Below are 20,059 nucleotides of genomic sequence, written 5' to 3' on the forward strand. Positions count from 1 at the left end.
AACAGCATGGGAAATAGTAAATATATGGGTAAATATAAAAGATGAGGATTTTCATCTTAATTTCTTTAAGCAACTGGGTGTAGCACTGTGTGCCTATAGTCCCAGCTACTCCAGAGGTTGAGGCAGGAGGATTGCCTGAGCTCAGGAGTTCAAGGCTGTAGTGTGCTATATAACATCTGTGAATAGCCACTGAATTCCAGCCTGGGCAACATAGCAATACCCCATCTCTAAAAATAGAATACAGAAGACTGTTCAAATTTCCAACATGACTTTCCATGGATTACTTATTTAATTGCAAAGAAAAAATTCACCCATAACAATGGAAGGAGCTGGTGGTCAATACATGAATCAAGGGATAAAACATAGTTTCACTTGTAGGCCACCTGATACTTTACAATATTAAGTACATGATACTATCTATGAAGTAGTCTTTTGAAAATGTTTAATCTGAAACCCAATCAAGCCTCTAATCATAACCTCCAGGTCACAGTAAATATAGAGGACAAAGAAACAAGTTAATCACACCTCCAGAAACAATAAGACAAACACAGCATGTGCAACACTATTTAGGTCAAATCTAAAGTCTTCAAAAAGTCTATGTCACAAAATGATGAAGGGTAGGCTCTTGACTAAAAGAGACTTAATAAGCCATAATCATATAAAATATATGAGATTAGTTTGGTTCTTGGCTTGTGAAAAAGACAGTGCTAAAAGACATTATTTTAAAAATTGGAGAAATTTGCAAATGGAGTGAATATTTTAAGACATTATAGGGTTACTGTTAATTTTTTTGTGACAATGGTGTAGTAGACATCTAGAAGATTATCTTTGATCCTAGCAGTTGTATGTTGCCTTTTTTTTAGAGGTGAATGATACCTAAAACATTCACTCAAAAAACAGGAAAAGTGATATATGTAATATATACATATATTCATGTGTAATAAGTATGATATATATATATATGCATCTGTGTATATACATAGACATAAGACATGCATGGTATATATGTATTTGTGTGTATATATGTGTTAGTATACACATAAAAAAGAGAGACATCAGATGTACTGAAACTAGGTGAAGGGCAAACAAGCCTTCACTGCACCACTGTAAACAGCTACCTTTTCTGTAAGGATGTAAATCTTAACATTTTCATAAACTTAGGGAAAACTTTTCCAAGTTAATATCTGTCTTTTGGCTACCTAACTGTTCATTTCTAATTTATTTTAATTGTAGAGGATGCAAAATATGTGTTATCTGTATTATAGGATTTGTGAAAAAATTTCTTTAAACCACTCTCTAATTTTCAACAGCTATCCTTTCATTATTCAATAAATACACATTATTTATTCCAGCATTAATCTTCAGGGGTATGAATTCTGAATTTAAAAATTTCTCATTTAATATATTCTACAGGATTTTGTCCAGAATAAATTATATGAAGTGATGATAGAGCATTTTCAAAATATCACACTCATAGGGTCTTCCTTCTATAAGATTTATTTTTAGTAATTCTAACAATTATCATAAAAATAATGTATTTAGTAAGCAAATACGATGTGCCAGATGCCTTTCCAAGTATTTATATTCTATATTAACTAGTTTAATCTTCACTATAGCATCATAATAGTGACAACAGTAAAAATGTGCCATGGCTAAAGGCTTTCCCTCTCATTACATTAAGAGTCTCTCACCATGGTGAAATCTTTGATGTTGACTAAGTTGATAGCAATGACTAAAGGCCTTACCACATTCTTTGCATTTCTGTGGTTTCACACCAGTATGAATTGTCTCATGTTGAGTAAGTCGATCACTGCGATTAAAGGCCTTATCACATTCTTTACATTCATAGGGTTTTTCACCAGTATGAATTCTCTTATGTTGAGAAAGACCTGAGATAGAACGAAAGGCCTTCTTACATTCTTTACATACATAGGGTTTCAAACCAGTATGAATTGTCTGATGATAAATTAGTTGAGAATTAAGTCTAAAGGTTTTTCCACATTCCTTACATTCATAGGGTTTCTCCCCAGCATGAATTGATTGATGTGTCTTAAGGTCTCCAACACGACTGAAGGCTTTCCCACATTGCTTACATTCATATGGCTTCAAATCAGTATGAATTATCTGATGTTGAATAAGATATGAATGAAGCTTAAAAGTCTTCCCACATTCTTTACATTCATGTGGCTTCTCACCAGTATGAATTCTCTGATGCTGTGTAAGTTGAGAGCCTCTACAAAAGGCCTTTCCACAATCCTTACAATCATAGAGTTTCTCACTACTATGAATTCTCTTATGTTTAAGAAGGCTTGAGCCCTTACCAAAAGCCTTTCCACATTCCATGCATTCATGAGGTTTCTCACCAGTATGACTTCTTTGATGTTCAACAAGTAGATAGCTGCGAACAAAGGCCTTTTCACATTGTTCACATTTATATGGTTTCTCACCAGAATGAATTTTCTTATGTTGGTAAAGACTTGAACGATGACCAAAAGCCTTTCCACATTCTTTACATTTGTAGGGTTTCACACCATGATGAATTTTCTGATGCAGACACATATGTCGATATAATCTAAACGTTTCCCCACATTCCTTACATTCAAAGGGTTTCAAGCCAACATGAATTTTCTGATGTTCTGTAAGGTGAGAATGACGTCTAAAAGCCTTCCCGCATTGCTTACATTCATAGGGTTTCATACCAGTATGAATTATCTGATGCTGAATAAGCTGTGAATAAAACCTAAAGGCCTTCTCACATCCATTGCATTCATAGGGTTTCAAATCAGTGTGGATTTTTCGATGTCTAATAAAATGCTGGAAAACTACAAATGCTTTTCCACATTCATTACATTCATAGGGTATCACACCAGTATGGTCTCTCAGATGTTCAGTAAGGTGCAAATATTTTCTAAAGCCCTTCTTATATTCCTTACACTCATATGATTTCTCTCTTGTGTTATTTCTCTTATGTAGAGGAAGGGATTTATGTTTTTTGAATATCATTTGACTAAAACATCCCACTTTAGGTCTCTGTTGTCTCCCAAATTCAATTGTGTACTGTGGGTCAGTTCTGAAAATAAACCTCATAAGGTTGAAGGTTTTATTTCTTTTCCATGTCTCCTGATGGTACGCATTTACTTCATAATTTCTTTTTTCTGAAGATAACTTGTTGCTTTCAGTTGTGAAATTAAAGTCTGGAAGAAAATGAAAAAACAAACAAATGCTATTTTCCAATAATAGGGGTAGGGAGAGGACATCTATATTAAAAATAGTGATAAACTAAAAAGTGTATCTGTTAGTAATAAAAGAGTTTAGAAAATTCTAAAGTACTGCCATGCAATTTTTAAAAGGCAAGAAGGGCTCAGAAAATTATGAAAGTGCACAGGAGGATGTAAGATTTATGAGTAGGCAAAGACAAAGTCACTAGTTCTCATATTTAGTTGCAAATCAGAATTACCATAGGAGCATTTTACATACACTATCTTTTAGATATCCACTCAGACTGAGTGGATCAGAATGCACAGGAGTATGTCCTGAATATCTCTATTCCTAACATTATCACATTGCTCTCTATATAATTGTCAGTGGTTTGGCTTTATCTTAGAATGAAAACCAAACACATAACCATGAATAAAAGGCCCTGTCTTATCCACACAAATTCATTTCAAGCCCTTGATATCTGCTCCCTATATTGTACCACATTGCATCTTTTCAGCTGTGAGAACACACCACAAATCTTTCCCATCTCCTGGGGTGTTACATAGATGTTCCACCTTTCAGAAATCCTCTTAAGTGGCTTCTTTAAATAATTGGCTAACTTTAAGTAAATTCATATTTTTAAGTCTAGATTCCATTTCCCAATTATTTGCCTTTATACTCCTTCTCTCAATTACATATTTACTAAATCTCATTTGTTTTACTACTTATTTTGTTACCCTAAAACATAGCATAGGTGCAAATCTTCTTTCAACTCCCATTGAAAAACAAGTCCCTACCATTGGTAAGTATTACATAATTCATTGTAGAATGAAATGTTGAGTTAAAAATGTAAACTGGATGAAAATAAAGGTCATTGGAAAAGAGAGCTGAGTAAACTAACCATTTCATTTCTGAAAATTATGTAAAAATTATCAGGTATCTCTCCCTGACTCCAATCTCTCACTCCTTATTAATCTTTTACCTCACATTTACTTTACAGGTGAGAAAAATGCACTTCCAAAATAGCTCAGTCAAGAATATAAGTGGAAAAGGCTGATATGTGGCCATTCTGCAATAACCTGTCCCCTTAAAAATATACATGCCTCTACCACTGGTGTTCATTCTTTCCTTTGCATAGCCATGCTTTTCTGTTTCTATCTCAATCAAAGTAATCACGTGTTGCATTAATTTTTACTGTAATGTTTTAAATAATTTTTTTTTTAAATCTACAAATAATGCCTGTAAGGTTGAAGGTTTTACTTCTTTTCATTCTACACATTTTCAATCTGTTGTGTTTCTTCAATGCCTTTCCCAAATTCTACCTTCTATTCATTTAAAGCCAAGGTGGATCATTCTTGAATTCTACAGAAATGCATCTCAGTAATTTTTCAGGAATTGCACGAATTAATATATTGAAAGGCTTATCAAAGTCAAAGCAAATAAACCTGGGGATATTGGGAAAAATAAAGTAAAAAATGGGGCAAGAGTCTAGGAAACTGAGTGCCTAGTAGTTTGCAACAAAGAATATATTGGACGTAGGCTGAAGATTGATAATCTGTGTGAGGGAGCAGCCTTTGAAATCTAATATGCTAAATGGGTCAAGTATTGAAAACAAGTGGAATTCTGTGAAAAAAGTATAAATTTAAAAAGTCAAAATAATACAGATGTTATCCTCTGAGCCAATGCAATAAAGGATAAGTAGCAATATCAAACAGCCAAAACACTTCCTATTTATAAACAGAAAGTACTCAACAACTACTCTTAGGTCAAAGACAAAATACAAACTGAAACTGTAGAATTTCTTGAAGACAGTGATAATGGAGATACTACATATCAGAATCTATGGCTTTCAGTTATAATGCACCAAGGCAAACTCAAAGATTAACATGCTTACATCTAATTAAAAATAAAAGAATTAAAATGAATAAATGAAGCATTTCATTTAAAAATTAGGGAAAACAGCCAGGCTCAATGGCTCATGCCTGTAATCCCAGCACTTTGGGAGGCCGAAGCAGGCAGATTGTTTGAGGCCAAGAGTTCAAGACCAACCTGGCCAACAATAGGAAATCTAAAATTACAAAAATTAGCCAGGTGTGGTGGCACACACCTATAGTCCTAGCTCCTTGGGAAGCTGAGGCACAAGAATCATTTGAACCCAGGAGGCAGAGGTTGCAGTGAGCTGAGATTGCGCCACTGTACTCTAGCCTGGGCGACAGAGTGAGATTCTGTCTCAAAAATAAATAAATAAATATAAATAAAAATTAGGGAGACATTAGGAAAAGAATGATGGACTGCAGAAAAGAAAAATATAATACAAGCAAAATTTAAATAAAACAGTAGAATTAACACATACAAACCATTATTTCCTTTATACCTAAGGAATAAAAGATAGGAGGGAAAATCCAAATATAATGACAAGGGGGAAATGACCATCAATAAAGAAATAAAGAATGTTAAAAAAATCATACAACTGTGCTAATATATTTCAAATGTACATGAAATGATGAATCTTCCTGAAAATAAAATTTATCAAAAGTGACACCAGCTAGACTTACTGGCTGGCTTCTAGCAAACAGAATATGAAAAGGGAAAAATAATAACTTTACAGTGAAGAAAAATGACGGACATCACCTTAAACAAATTTATAAGGTTAATACCTCAGCAATAAATCATGCTGATATCATGTATTTCTGATACAATATGATGAGAAAGCTACTTCTCTGGTATTCTTCCCCAAAGCCGATAATCCCAGTTTAATCATAAAAAATTCAACAAACCCAAATTGTCCGGCACTTTTCAAAATACCTGACTAGTACTCTTCAAAAAGTATCAAGGCCAGAAAGGACAAGGAAAGACAAAGAAACTGTCACAGGTAGGAGGAAACTAAAACACATGATGGCTAAATGCAATGTGATATCCTGGATTGAATCACGGAATAGAAAAAAGGACAGTGGAAAAACTGGTACACTGAATAAAATCTATAGTTTTGCTAATAGTTTGCCTATAGTTTTGTTAACAATGTTAACTTGCTAGTTTGCATAAATGTACCATGATTATGTAAGATGTTATCATTATAGGAACCTGTGGTACCACATTTGTAACTTGTCTATAACTCTAAAATTATTTCAAAATGAAAGTAAAACAATAACAACAAATAGACTCCAGAAGAGATGGAAAATCTAAACAGACCAATTTCCATGAAAAAAATAGAAAAAAAATTTAAAATATTTTTCCCCACAAACAGCTGGTCACAATTAGTTAGCTCCCTGTTGGCCAGGCTTCGGTCTCTATATACTATTTCCCATTAATGTGAACTAGGGTGCCTTGGAGAAATAGCTAATTCCTAGTTCAGGGAGGGAAGATACAAGGCGAATCTGGAACCTCTTGTACTAAAATGCAAAGAAGCTTTTAAAGATAACAGAAAATAACTTGTGCTTTTAGTTATGAAACATTAAGAGGGATCAGATTTCCCCTTTTACTTTATTTTTATTTATTTATTTATTTATTTTTTATTATTATACTTTAAGTTTTAGGGTACATGTGCACATTGTGCAGGTTAGTTACATACGTATACATGTGCCATGCTGGTGTGCTGCACCCACTAACTCGTCATCTAGCATTAGGTATATCTCCCAATGCTATCCCTCCCCCCTCCCCCCACCCCACAACAGTCCCCAGAGTGTGATGTTCCCCTTCCTGTGTCCATGTGATCTCATTGTTCAATTCCCACCTATGACTGAGAATATGCGGTGTTTGGTTTTTTGTTCTTGCGATGGTTTACTGAGAATGATGGTTTCCAATTTCATCCATGTCCCTACAAAGGACATGAACTCATCATTTTTATGGCTGCATAGTATTCCATGGTGTATATGTGCCACATTTTCTTAATCCAGTCTATCATTGTTGGACATTTGGGTTGGTTCCAAGTCTTTGCTATTGTGAATAATGCCGCAATAAACATACGTGTGCATGTGTCTTTATAGCAGCATGATTTATAGTCCTTTGGGTATATACCCAGTAATGGGATGGCTGGGTCAAATGGTATTTCTAGTTCTAGATCCCTGAGGAATCGCCACACTGACTTCCACAATGGTTGAACTAGTTTACAGTCCCACCAACAGTGTAAAAGTGTTCCTATTTCTCCACATCCTCTCCAGCACCTGTTGTTTCCTGACTTTTTAATGATTGCCATTCTAACTGGTGTGAGATGGTATCTCATTGTGGTTTTGATTTGCATTTCTCTGATGGCCAGTGATGGTGAGCATTTTTTCATGTGGTTTTGGCTGCATAAATGTCTTCTTTTGAGAAGTGTCTGTTCATGTCCTTCGCCCACTTTTTGATGGGGTTGTTTGTTTTTTTCTTGTAAATTTGTTTGAGTTCATTGTAGATTCTGGATATTAGCCCTTTGTCAGATGAGTAGGTTGCGAAAATTTTCTCCCATTTTGTAGGTTGCCTGTTCACTCTGATGGAACTACCCTGGAGGCTCTGGCTGAGTACTGATATGAATTTACATGTGAGCAAACTAATGAGGCAAAGGAAAGCACCACCATATAGGGGTAGGCAGAACAATACCTGAAAGTCACCAAGGGTAGTTAGGGGATAGTTCCTGTTTCCACCAGCCAGGAGTGGTAAGTTGGCCCTAAGGCTCTACAACTACTTTTCCCCTGAAAAAACTCCCTGATTCTAAGTACAGCAGGAGTTAAAAGAACAGCGTTTACAAAGAGGTAGCTGAGCATTATCAAACTGAAAACCAGCAGTGACCCATTTAATTCCTGGTTGTATTACTGTCATCAGCCTGCATTCTATCAGACTAACAGAGGAAAACATAAATACCCTCTGGTGGAAGATAGCATCATCTGAAACCTCTTCAGTTATTTTATATGCAATGCCCAGCATACAATCACAACTACTAGTAACTTGAAGATGCATTAACAAATGACAAATAACAAGATTAAAAGAAAGAAACAATAAAGAAGCAGACCCCCAGATGATACAAAAAATGAGGCATAAAAGAATTAAAAAATTAACTATGATTAAAATGTTCCAAGAAAACAGATGAAAATTTAGTAATAAAAGGAAAGCAAATAAAAGAATGAAGATTTCAACAAGTATTTGGAAGTTATAAAAGAGAATTAAATTGAATTTCTGGAACTGAAAAAGACAATATCTGACATGAAAAACCCCTCTTTAGAAAACAGAATAAGTGAGCTGGAATACAGGTCAACAGGAAACATTCAAACTCCATCATATGAAAAATAGAGGGGAAAGAGAGGAGAAAAGCAGATAAGGACATGAAAAAGTTGTGGGATATGCTCAAAAGGTCTAACATAGGTGTAATTAAAGTCCCAGATGGGAGGAGAGAATGGTCACCTATCTTCCAAAAACTGAACAAAGACTGCCCCTTCTGCATGGAATCTATCAGATCACTGGAAGCCAACAGGCCAACTGCTAGAACTACAAAAATAACAGTAAAAAAGAGAATAATCTTAATTCATTCTACTACTATAAAAATTATGGAGGCTCTTTTGTGGTAAAGAGAAAACCATGGTTTTTTATGTAGGAAGATTAGCAATTAAAGTATTTACAGACATTCTGAACACACATATAATTTAAAATTTGTTTTTGCTGATAGTGTCTTTGCAGAAAAATACCAGAATTCAAACCTCTAGTCATTTAGAAAAAGAAGTAATTATAGGACAGGGCAGAGGCAGGCATAAAGGCAAGTGAAGAATAGTGAAGATTCAGGTGCTGAATGGGGGTGCCCATTCCACCTAACAAACTTCAAATATGCCCATTTCCACCTAACAAACTTTGAGAATATGGAGCAGAAATGTAGCTGGTTTCTTGGCATAGACCATAAAATATACAACAGAGAAGGCTGATATTCTAGAGAGCATATTGTACATCATTTTGTGCAGATATTCTTACCCAATGAGACCAAGTTAGTATAATTCTCCAACATCACATCTCTGTACAAATCCCTCTGATCCGAGTTTAAATATTCCCACTCCTCCTGAGAGAAGTCTATGGCAACATCGCTGAATGTCAATGGCACCTGAAATGACAAACCTGTGTATTATTTGTAAAAGTAAAGAAGACTTTTCAAGATGGAACATTAAATTGCAATAAAGGGGCAATATGTAAAAAGAAGTAGTCTAGAGTTACAAGATGATGACATGGTTAGATAAGAGTAAATAAATTAGCATGTCTTAAGTAGAGTGCCCACACAATCTTAAGGAATCCTGTTGGAGCACACAAAATTTTCTTAGTAATATTAGAGAAAAATCCAAATATATAAAAATAAATGAAGTCACCAAACTTTCCAAATTAAATAGTATATATAAGCACAATACCTTCTACGTACCTAAGCCATATAATATTAATAAATACAAGTTGTTACAGCTTTTCTCTTCGAGGAATATGAAAAACCATGAATTGATAACTACCCCCTCCCCCAATTGTATTATAAAATCTTTTCCAGCCAACACGGAATAACAGGGATTGAATTTACCTTCTTGTATGAAACAACTGAAAATCTGAACAAAATATATTAAACCATGGTTTTCAAGACAGAAAACATTGCGCAATGATACCTGAAAGACAAGTAACAAATGAGGTGAAACCTACAGTCACACTAGTTTACTGTAAGGAGACAATTTCTAGGCTGTGGCACAGGGAGCGGGAACCTAAGCAAAGCCCACTGGATTCCACTGAGAACAAGAAAAGTACAAACCAATATCCATCATGGACACAGATGCAACGATTCCAAACAAAGTTTTAGCACATCAAATCTAACAGTATATAAGAAAGGGAACTCTATTATGACCAAGGCTCAATCCAAGCCTGTCTCACATTTAAAAATCAATCAAGGTAATGCACCATATTCACAAACTACAAAAGAAAAACCGTATGAACATATCAATAGATGCAGAAAAGGCATCTGACAAAAGCCAACATCCACTGCTGATATCCTTGGTGAAACAAGAAAAGAAGGGAACATCCTTAACCCAATGAATGACATCTATAAAAAACCCATAGCTAACATCACATTTGATAGTGAAAGGCTGAATGCTTTCCTCCCCAAATCAGGAATATAGCAAGGATATCTACTCTCACCACTTCTATTCAACATTGTACTAGCGGTTCTAGCCAGTGCAACTCAGGCAAGAAGAAGAAATAAAAAGCATCTAGATTGAAAAAGAAGTAAAAATCTCTTTATTCACAGATAACATGATTGTCTATATAGAAAATCTAATAGAATCTAATAAAAATTCATTAAAACTATCAAGTGAGTTAGCAAGCTGAGAAGATACAAGCTCAATATGTTAAACATAAATGGCATTTTAATTAGCAACAATTGGTGGAAATTAAAATTAAAAATACTGAATATCAAATGAAAAATATAAAATACTTAGGAATCAATCTAACAAAAGATGACAATACTAATACTCTCATAACTACAAATAATTACTGAGAAAAAACTTAAAAGATCTAAACAAATAGAAAGCTATAATATGTTCATCAGTCAGATGACTCTTACCTTTGCAAACAGATCCACAGATTCAACAAAATCTCAGTCAAAATCCCAGCAGAGGCCAGGTGCGATGGCTCACCCCTGTAATCCCAGCACTTTCGGAGGGTGAGGCAGGCGGATCACCTGAGGTTGGGAGTTCGAGACCAGCCTGACCAACATGGAGAAACCCTGTCTCTACTAAAACATACAAAATTAGCCAGGTGTGGTAGCGCATGCCTGTAATCCCAGCTTCTCAGGAGGCTGAGGCAAGAGAATTGCTTGAACCTGGGAGGTGGAGGTTGCAGTGAGCCAAGATCACATCATTGCACTCCAGCCTGGGCAACAAGAGTGAAACTCTGTCTCAAAAAAAAAAAAAAAAAAAAAATCCCAGCAGAGCTTTTGTAAAAATAGACAAGGTGATTCTAAAATTCAGATGAAAACACAAAGGATCTAGAATAACCTAGACAACATTGAAGAAGAGCACAGTTGGAGGATCAACCCTACTAATTGGAAAGCTTAACGTAATACTACAATAATAAAGAGTATGTGGTGTTTGCATAAACGTAGACAAATAAGTCAATGGAACAGAGTTGAGAAATAGACCTACACGTATCTAGACAACTGGCTTTAAACAAGTGACTAAAGGCAATTCAGTGGATAAAGGACCGTCTTTTAAAAAAATGGTGTAGGAACAACTGGATATCTATATGCAAAATAAATTATCCATACCTTGTACCATATGCCAAGATTAACTTAAAATGGCACATGGAGATAAACATAAAACATAAAACTATAGAGCTTCTATGAGAAAACACAGTATAAAAATCTACATAAGCTTGGGGTGAGGCAAAGATTTCTTAGATACAACACCAACAGTACAATCCCTAAAGAAAAAGTACAATCTGTAAAGAAAAGAAAAAGCTGATAAACTGGATTTCATCCAGAAATGGAACTCTCATACACTGTTGGTGGGAATGTAAAATGGTATTATCACTTTGAAAAATTAAAAACTTCTGCTCTTCAAAATTCAGTTAAAAGAATGAAAAAATGGCCAAGTATGGTGGCTTATGCCTGTAATCTCAGCACTTTGGGAGGCTGAGGTGGGAGGATCACTTGAGCCCAGGAGTTTGAGGCTGCGGTAAACCTTGATAACAAAACTGCACTCCAGCTTGGGCAAGAGAGCAAGACCCCATCTCTAAAAAAAAAAAAAAAAAATTAAAAAGAGGCTGGGCATTGTGGCTCATGACTGTAATCCCAGCACTTTGAAAGGCTGAGGTGGGCAGATCACTTGAAGTTAGGAATTCAAGACCAGCCTGGCCAACATGGTGAAACCCCATCTCTACTAAACATACAAAAATTTGCTGGGCATGGTGGCAGGTGCCTGTAATCCTGGCTACTTGGGAGGCTGAGGCAGGAGAATCGCTTGAACCTGGGCAGCAGAGGTTGCAGTGAGCCAAGATAACGCCACTGTACTCTATCCTGGGTGACAGAGTGAGACTCCATCTCAAAGAAAAAAAAAAGAATCAAGTGACAAGCACCCTCTTATTAGATTCATCTTTCTTAAGGTATTAAGGCACTATTATTAAAAATAATATTATTGTATAAAGAATTATACTAATATGGCATGTATGTTGGACACAAATTCCAACCTCTTCCCCATAGTTCAATATCATCTACCACATATCATTCTAGTTGATTTTCCTTTCTACAACTCTTTATAGATCTGTTCCTGAGTTGGAACACAGTAATGCAGAATGATCCAGAACAACCTTGATTCCCTCAGGACTGTCAATTTCTCTTCCACTACAAAATGGGACCCTGGAATTGTTTTCATTTCTCAGTGATCCCTTAGCTAGATCCCTAATCTCTCTCTAGGTAAGTGATAATCCCATCTTCACTCAAACCTAAATGCGTTTCAAAGTTGAGATCTCATCTCAAACAGACTGAGACCACTCATAACCAAGTTTTCCCTTATCTAACTGTGGAGATAAGGGAGCTGTGGAGAAAGTTTCCACTCCTGTAGTCAAATAGGACCATTGTTCCTATGCCACGAAACCATGAACCTGACAACGGCAGCTCAACTATTTCAAGGTACTTCACTCTTTCACTGCTCTAACACTGCTCTTGAGAGAAGACTGAACACACAGAAGATGGATGAATTATTTGAAAATAAGTGAAAATCAGTTCAAAAAAGGAGGGCAAATGAGGAGGACATCATCCATCACTGGAATGGGAGGAATGTGAAATAGGTTCCAAGAGAGAGCTTTCTGAGATAGGAGGTTTCAGGATTAAAAAAATGAAAATATTACATGAATTAAAAAATCACAATAAGTCAGAAAAGCAAAAGAGACATCAACTCACCCGGGCCATGGTTTCAGAAATGCTAGTTCTCTTCAGGTTTCCTCTATCAGAGAAGCAGAGTTCAGAGAAGCCAAAGCTAGGTAATCAAGGCATCACCTGCCAAAAGATACGTAACTTTACTAAAGAGATGTTTCTAAACAATAAGATACTGTCATTTTACAGGTATTTAGTTGTCACATTTAAAAGGTTGATGATGTACCACATATTAGTGAGGCTGTAGGGCAAAGTGCATTCTCATGGTGTCCTGTAGACTTGTGAAAATCAAGGGCATTAATACAGGTAAGCAAATCTCTGCATAAGAACTTAACCACGAAAGGCCATTTCTGAGACTCTGTCCAAAAGAAATAATTATAAAATGTGCTCGAAGATGTATAAAAGAATGTGATGATACATATTAGTTGTAATGAAAAAAGCTGGAGAAAAATCTAAAGAGACATAGACAGGTAGTTAATTAAATAAATGACTGTGTATTCACATAATGGAAAATAAGGTAGATATTAAAAACTATTGTGTAGATCACTGGTTCTGAACAGGCAGTGAATCTGTTCTTAAGAGAACGTTTGGCAATGTCTGGAGACACATTTGGTTGTCATAATGTAGGCAGAGGTGTTAAGGTATCTAGTGGAAAGAGACCAGGTTTGCTGCTAAACAATGTGTGATGCACAGGAAAGTCCCTAAAACAAAGAATTAGCTAGCCAAATATGTCAATAGTGTCAAGGGTGAAAAACCCTGAAGTAGACTCATTAAAGGAAGATAACGTAATCCAGAGTCTCTATAATATATAATAGATTATGCCAACACATGATAACTGTTAAACACAAAAAAACAGGAAAAAGTTACTAATGAGCAGGAGAAAAAAAAATCTCAACAGAAACAGACTCACAAAGAATCCAGATATGGGAGGTAGCAGACAAGGGCTTGAAAATATGATTAACATGCTAAAGAAAAGAAAAGATGAGCAAAATGGATTGCAAAATGGAGTAAATCAATAGAGTATCAGATCTGAAAAGATAATCACATGAATATTTTAGAATTACAAAATTAATTAAGAGCTTATTGCGGTGGCTCATGCCTGTAATCCCAGTACTTTGGGATGTCAAGGCGGGTGGATCATTTGAGGTCAGGAGTTTGAAACCATCTTGGACAACATGGTGAGATCCCGTCACTACTGGAAATACAAAAATTAGCCAGGTGTGGTGGCATACGCCTGTAATCCCAGCTACTTGGAAGGCTGAGGCAGAAGAATTACTTGAACTGGGGAAGTGGAGGTTGCAGTGAGCTGAGATCGTGCCACTGCACTCCAGCCTGGGTGACAGAGTGAGACTCCGTCTCAAAAAAAGAGCTTATTATGCAACATTAAGTCAAATTTACAATAATCTTTCTTTCAAAAAATCCTCTATGTCTATTATTATTATTTTAGAGATGGGGTCTGGTTCTGTCACCCAGGCTGTAGTGCAGTGGTATGAGCATAACTCACTGCAGCCTCAAACTGCTGGGCTCAAGTGATCCTCACACCTCAGCTTCCCAAGTAGCTGGAATTACAGGTATAAGGCACTGCACTGAGCCTCAAATTAACAATAATCTTATGCAGAGAGAAAAAAAGAGAACACAATTGAAAAGAAAAATGCAAGAAACAGTGAAAATGTGACACTGAACATCTAGAAGAAAATAAGAGAGAATGGGACAGAAAAATTATTTAAAGAAATAATAAACAAAAACATTCCAAATCTCAGGAAATACCTTGATATACAAATCAAAAAAGTTGTCAAACCTAATCAAAATAAAATGAAGAAATTCACACCTAGAGATATCATAGTCAAACTGCTGAAAAACAACATTGAAAAACATAATTTAAAACCACATTGTTTAAAAAAAAAAGCTGTCAGCTATAAGAAAACAGTAAGAAAAATGGTTGACTTCTCACTAGAAACTATAGTAGCCTAAAGAATGGAATTTATATCTTTAAAGTGCTGAAAGAAAAAAACTGAGAACTCTGAATTTTATACCCGGAGAAAAAATTTTTCAGAAATAAAGGTGAAATAAATACTTGTTGAAACAAATGCTAAGATAATTCTTTATCAGTAGACCCACAATATAAGAAATACTAAAAGAAAGCATTAGGCTAAAGGAAAGTAATCCCAGATGGAAGCATGAATATGCAAACAAGCAATGAACAGCTGTAGATGGAGTAAAGACATGACTGATATGACTAAACAAATGAATTATTTAAAGCAACGAAAATAATAATGTTTTATGGGGCTTGTAATATAGGATGGAGGAATGACAATAATAGCAAAAATGGTGAGCAAGGAGGTTAATGGAGTTAACACATTAACCTCTATTAATGACTATTGAAATGCCCTTACACTACGGGGACTCTATTAAAGATGCACATTATATTATAATATCTTGGCAGCCAGGAGTGGTGGCTCACACCTGTAATCCCAGGACTTTGGGAGGCTGAGATGGGCAGATCACCTGAGGTCAGGAGTTTGAGACCAGCCTGGCCAACATGGTGAAACTCCGTCTCTACTAAAAATACAAAAATTAGCTGGGCTTGGTGGCGTGTCTGTAATCCCAGTTACTTGGGAGTCTGAGGAAGGAGAATTGCTTGAACCTGGGAGGCGCAGGTTGCAGTGAGCCGAGACTGTGCCACTGCCCTCCAACCTGGGCAACAGAGTAAGACCCTGTCTCAAAAAATAAATAAATAAAACAAAAGAATGTACAAACATGTACAATTGAAAAACCTGATAGAAGAGGCCAGGCATGGTAGCTCATGCCTGTAATCCCAGCACTTTGGGAGGCCGAGGCGGGTGGATCACCTGAAGTCAGGAGCTCGAGACCAGCCTGGCCAACATGAGAAAACCTCGTGTCTTCTAAAAATACAAAAATTAGCCAGGCATGATGGTGGGTGCCTGTAATCCCAGCTACTCGGGAGGCTGAGGCAGGAGAATTGCTTGAACCTGGGAGGTGGAGGTTGTAGTGAGCCGAGATCGAGCCATTGCACTCCAGCCTGGGCAAGAGCGAGACTCCATCTCCAAAAAAAAAAAAAAAAAACCAAAAAACAAAAAACAAAAAACAAAAAAAACTGACAGAGGAGATGAAATGGAATAATAAAAAAAAACTTAATTTATACAAAAAAATCAGGAAAAGAGCAATTAAAAATATAAAGAAACAGAAAACATATAGCAAGATGGCAGGCTTATATTACAGTAAATATAAATTATAGTATATTACTACAGTATAATTTATACTTATACTAATTATAGTAATTATAGTAAATACAAATGAACTAACCATTGCAATTCAAAACTAATATTATAAGATTAGGTTAAAAAGAAAAATAGGATCAATTAGGCTGCTTACAAGAAACGTTCTCTAAATATAAAGACACGTGTTTAAAAAAATGGAAAAAATCTATCAAGCAGTATTGCGAAGAAAACAGACACAGCTATACTAATAACAAATAAAGTAGATTTTAATGCAAGAAGTATTGTAAGTAATAAAGAGGGTCATATTCTGCAATTCAGCAAGAATACAACAGTAGTCCTATATTTGTATGTACCTAATAACATAGTTTCAAAAAATATAAAATAAATGTCAACAGAATTAAAGGACAGACAAATTTTAAAGTTAGAGATTTCAACACTCTCTATTGGTAACTACTAATAGGAACACCAAAAAAAGAAAAAAAAATCCACAAAGCCATAAAAGTGTGAAGAAGATTAACCAAATTGAACCAAATGAACATTATACCAAACTGCAGACTACACATTCTGTTCAAATGATTACATCACATTTATCAGAATAACATTCTGGGCTATAAAGTAAGTATCTATAAATTACAAAGGATTAACATAAAACAATGTATATTTTCTGAGCCTTTACAATTAGCTTAGAACTCAAAAAGAGGCAGTTCTCAAATGTTTCCAAATACAGACATACTGTGGAGATATTGCAGGCTTGGCCCCAGACCACCATGCTAAAGTGAACATTGCAGTAAAGTGAATCACATGAATTTTTTGGTTTCCCAGTGCATAGAAAAGATATGTTTATACTGTATTATTCAGTGTGTAATAGCATTATCCCTAAAAAATACGGTGCATACCTTAATTTAAATATACTTCATTGCTAAAAAATGCTAATGGTCATCTGAGCCTTCAGAGAGTCATAATCTTTTTGCTGGTGGAAGGTATTGCCTTGATGTTGATGGCTGCTGACTGATCAGGGTTGCTGAAGGGTGGGATGGCTATGACAGTTTCTTAAAAGAAGACAATAATGGGCCAGGTGCGGTGGCTCATGCCTGTAATCCCAGCATTTTGAGAAGCTGAGGTGGGTGGATCACAAGGTCAAGAGATCGAGACAATTCTAGCCAACATGGTGAAACTCTGTCTCTACTACAAATACAAACATTAGCTGGGCATGGTGGTACGCACCTGTAGTCCCAGCTACTCGCTCGGCAGGCTGAGGCAGAAGAAGCGCTTGAACCCAGGAGGCAGAGGTTGCAGTGAGCCGAGATCGCTCCACTGCACTCCAGCCTGGGTGACAGAGCGAGACTCTGTCTCAAAAAAAAAAAGGCAATAATGAAGTTTGCCACATCAATTGACTCTTCCTTTCACAAGAGATTTCTCTGTAGCATGTGATGCTGTTTGATAGCATTTTACCCACAGGGGATCTTTTTTCAAAATTGGGGTCAATCTTTTCCAACCCTGGTGCTGCTTTATCAACTAAGCTTGTGTACTATTCAAAATTGTTTGTTTTTATTTCAACAACATTCACAGCATTTTCACCAGGAGTAGATTCCATCTCAAGAAACCACTTTAATTGCTCATCTGTAAGAAGCAGCTCCTCATCCATTAAAGTTTTATCATGAGATTGCAGAAATTCAGCCACATCTTCAGGCTCCATGTCTAATTCTAGTTCTCTTGCTATTTTTGCCACATCTGCAGTTACTTCCTCTACTCAAGTCTTGAACCCCTCAAAGTTATCTGTGAGGGTTGGAATCAACTTCTTCCAAACTCCTGTTAAACATTTTGACCTCCTTCTATGAATCAGGAGTGTTCTTAATGGCATCTAGAATGTTAAATCCATTCCAGAAGCTTTTCAATTCACTTTGCCTAGATCCATTAGAGAAATCACAATCTATGGCAGCTAGAGTTTTATGAAATGTATTTCTTAAAAAATGAAACTTGAAAGTTGAAATTATTCCTTGATCCATGGGCTGCAGGGTGGATGTTGTGTTAGTAGGCATGAAAGCAAAATTAATCTTTTCCATACATCCCCAACAGAGCTCCTGGATGACCAGGTGGAACGTCAATCGGCAGTAATATTTTGAAAGGAGTCTTTTTTTTCCTTTCTGAGCATTGGGTCTCAACAGTGGGTTTAAAATATTGAGTAAGCCATGCCATAAACAGATGTGCTGTCATTCAGGCTTTGTTGTCCCATTTCTAGAGCACAGGCAGAGTAGATTTAGCACAATTCTTAAGGGCGCTAGAATTTTCAGAATAGTGAATGAGTATCACCTTCAACTTATAGTCACCAGCTGCATTAGCCTCTAATAAGAGAGTCAGCCTGTCCTTTGAAGCCAGGCATTGACTTCTCTCTAGCTATGAAAGTCCTAGATGGTATCTTCTTCCAACAGAAGACTGTTTTGTCTACATGGAAAATCTTTTGTTTAATGTAGCCACCTTCATCAATAATCTTAGCTAGATCTTCTGGACAACTGGCTGCAGCGTATATATCAGCATTTGCTGCTTCACCTTGCACTGTTATGTTATGGAGATGACTTTTTTCCTTAAACCTCATGAACCAACCTCTGCTAGCATCCAACCTTTCTTCTGTAGCTTCCTCATGTCTCTCAGACTTCACAAAATTGAAGACAGTTAGGTCTTTGCTCTGGCTTTGGCTTAAGGGAATTTTGTGGCTGGCTTGATCTTCTATGTGGACCACTAATCTTTCTCTGTATTGCAGTATCTCCATATGACTCGAGAAGCACTTTTCATTTCCTTCAAGAACTTTTCCTTTGCATTCACAACTAGGCTAACTGTTTGGCACAAGAGGTCAAGCTTTTGGCCCGTCTTGGCTTTTGACATGCCTTCCTCACTAAGCTTAATCACTTCTAGCTTTTGATTAAAAGTGAGAAACAGAGGACTCTTCCTTTCATTTGAACACTTAGAGGCTATTGTAGGGCTACTAACTGGCCTGATTTCAATATTGTTGTGTTTCAGGAAAACAAAGAGAGGAAGAGAGACAGGAATAGCTGGTCGGTGGAGCAGTCAGAAGACACATAACATATATTCATTCAGTTCACCGTCTTATATGGGTGTGGCTCACGGTGTCCCAAAGCAATTACAACAGTAACACCAAGGACCCTGATCACAGATCACCATAAAAATAATGGAAAAGTTTTAAATATTGCTAGAATTACAAAATGTGACAAAGAGACACAGAATGAGCACATGCTGTTGAAAAACAGAGACAATATACTTGCTGAATGCAGGGTTACCACAAATCTCAATTTGTAAAAATTGCAATATTTGCAAAGTGCAATAAAGCAACATGCAATAAAATGAGATGTGCCTGTGTAAAAGGCATACTTCTAAATAGTTACTGGTCAAATAATAAATCAATGGAAGCTAGAAAATATTTTGAGTTAAATGATAGTGAAAGTAAGATATATCAAAGCTTGTGAGACGCAGGTAAACCAATGCTTATGAAGATATAAGCTTTAAATATATGTTTTGTCAAAACAGAAAGGTTGAAAATCAGTGATATACATCAAGAAGCTTGAAAAGGAAAAGCAAATTAAACCTATAGAAAGTATAACATACCAAAAGTAACCAATAACACAAAAAACCCCAGATATACAATAAAGAAAAATCAATAAAGCCAAAGCTATTTCATTGAAGAGATTAATAAGAATAATAAACTTCTAGTTACACTGATCAAGAAAAAATTGCCAATATCAGGAATATAAAAGAAGATAAC

General features: G+C 36.0%; 1 protein-coding gene across 1 annotated transcript; it reads right to left on the reverse strand.

The window, feature by feature from the left end:
- Nucleotides 1-1,481: 1,481 nt before the first annotated feature.
- On the reverse strand, nucleotides 1,482-13,081 carry ZNF404 (zinc finger protein 404). Its single transcript, NM_001033719.3, has 3 exons — nucleotides 13,073-13,081; nucleotides 9,127-9,253; nucleotides 1,482-3,194 (listed from the first exon to the last, which is right to left on the reverse strand). The coding sequence occupies exons 1-3, from the start codon at nucleotides 13,079-13,081 to the stop codon at nucleotides 1,672-1,674; spliced, it is 1,659 nt and encodes a 552-aa protein (NP_001028891.2). The 3' UTR covers nucleotides 1,482-1,671.
- Nucleotides 13,082-20,059: the final 6,978 nt, after the last annotated feature.

This window comes from Homo sapiens, chromosome 19 (genome assembly GCF_000001405.40).
Source record: "Homo sapiens chromosome 19, GRCh38.p14 Primary Assembly".
NCBI lineage: Eukaryota > Metazoa > Chordata > Mammalia > Primates > Hominidae > Homo > Homo sapiens.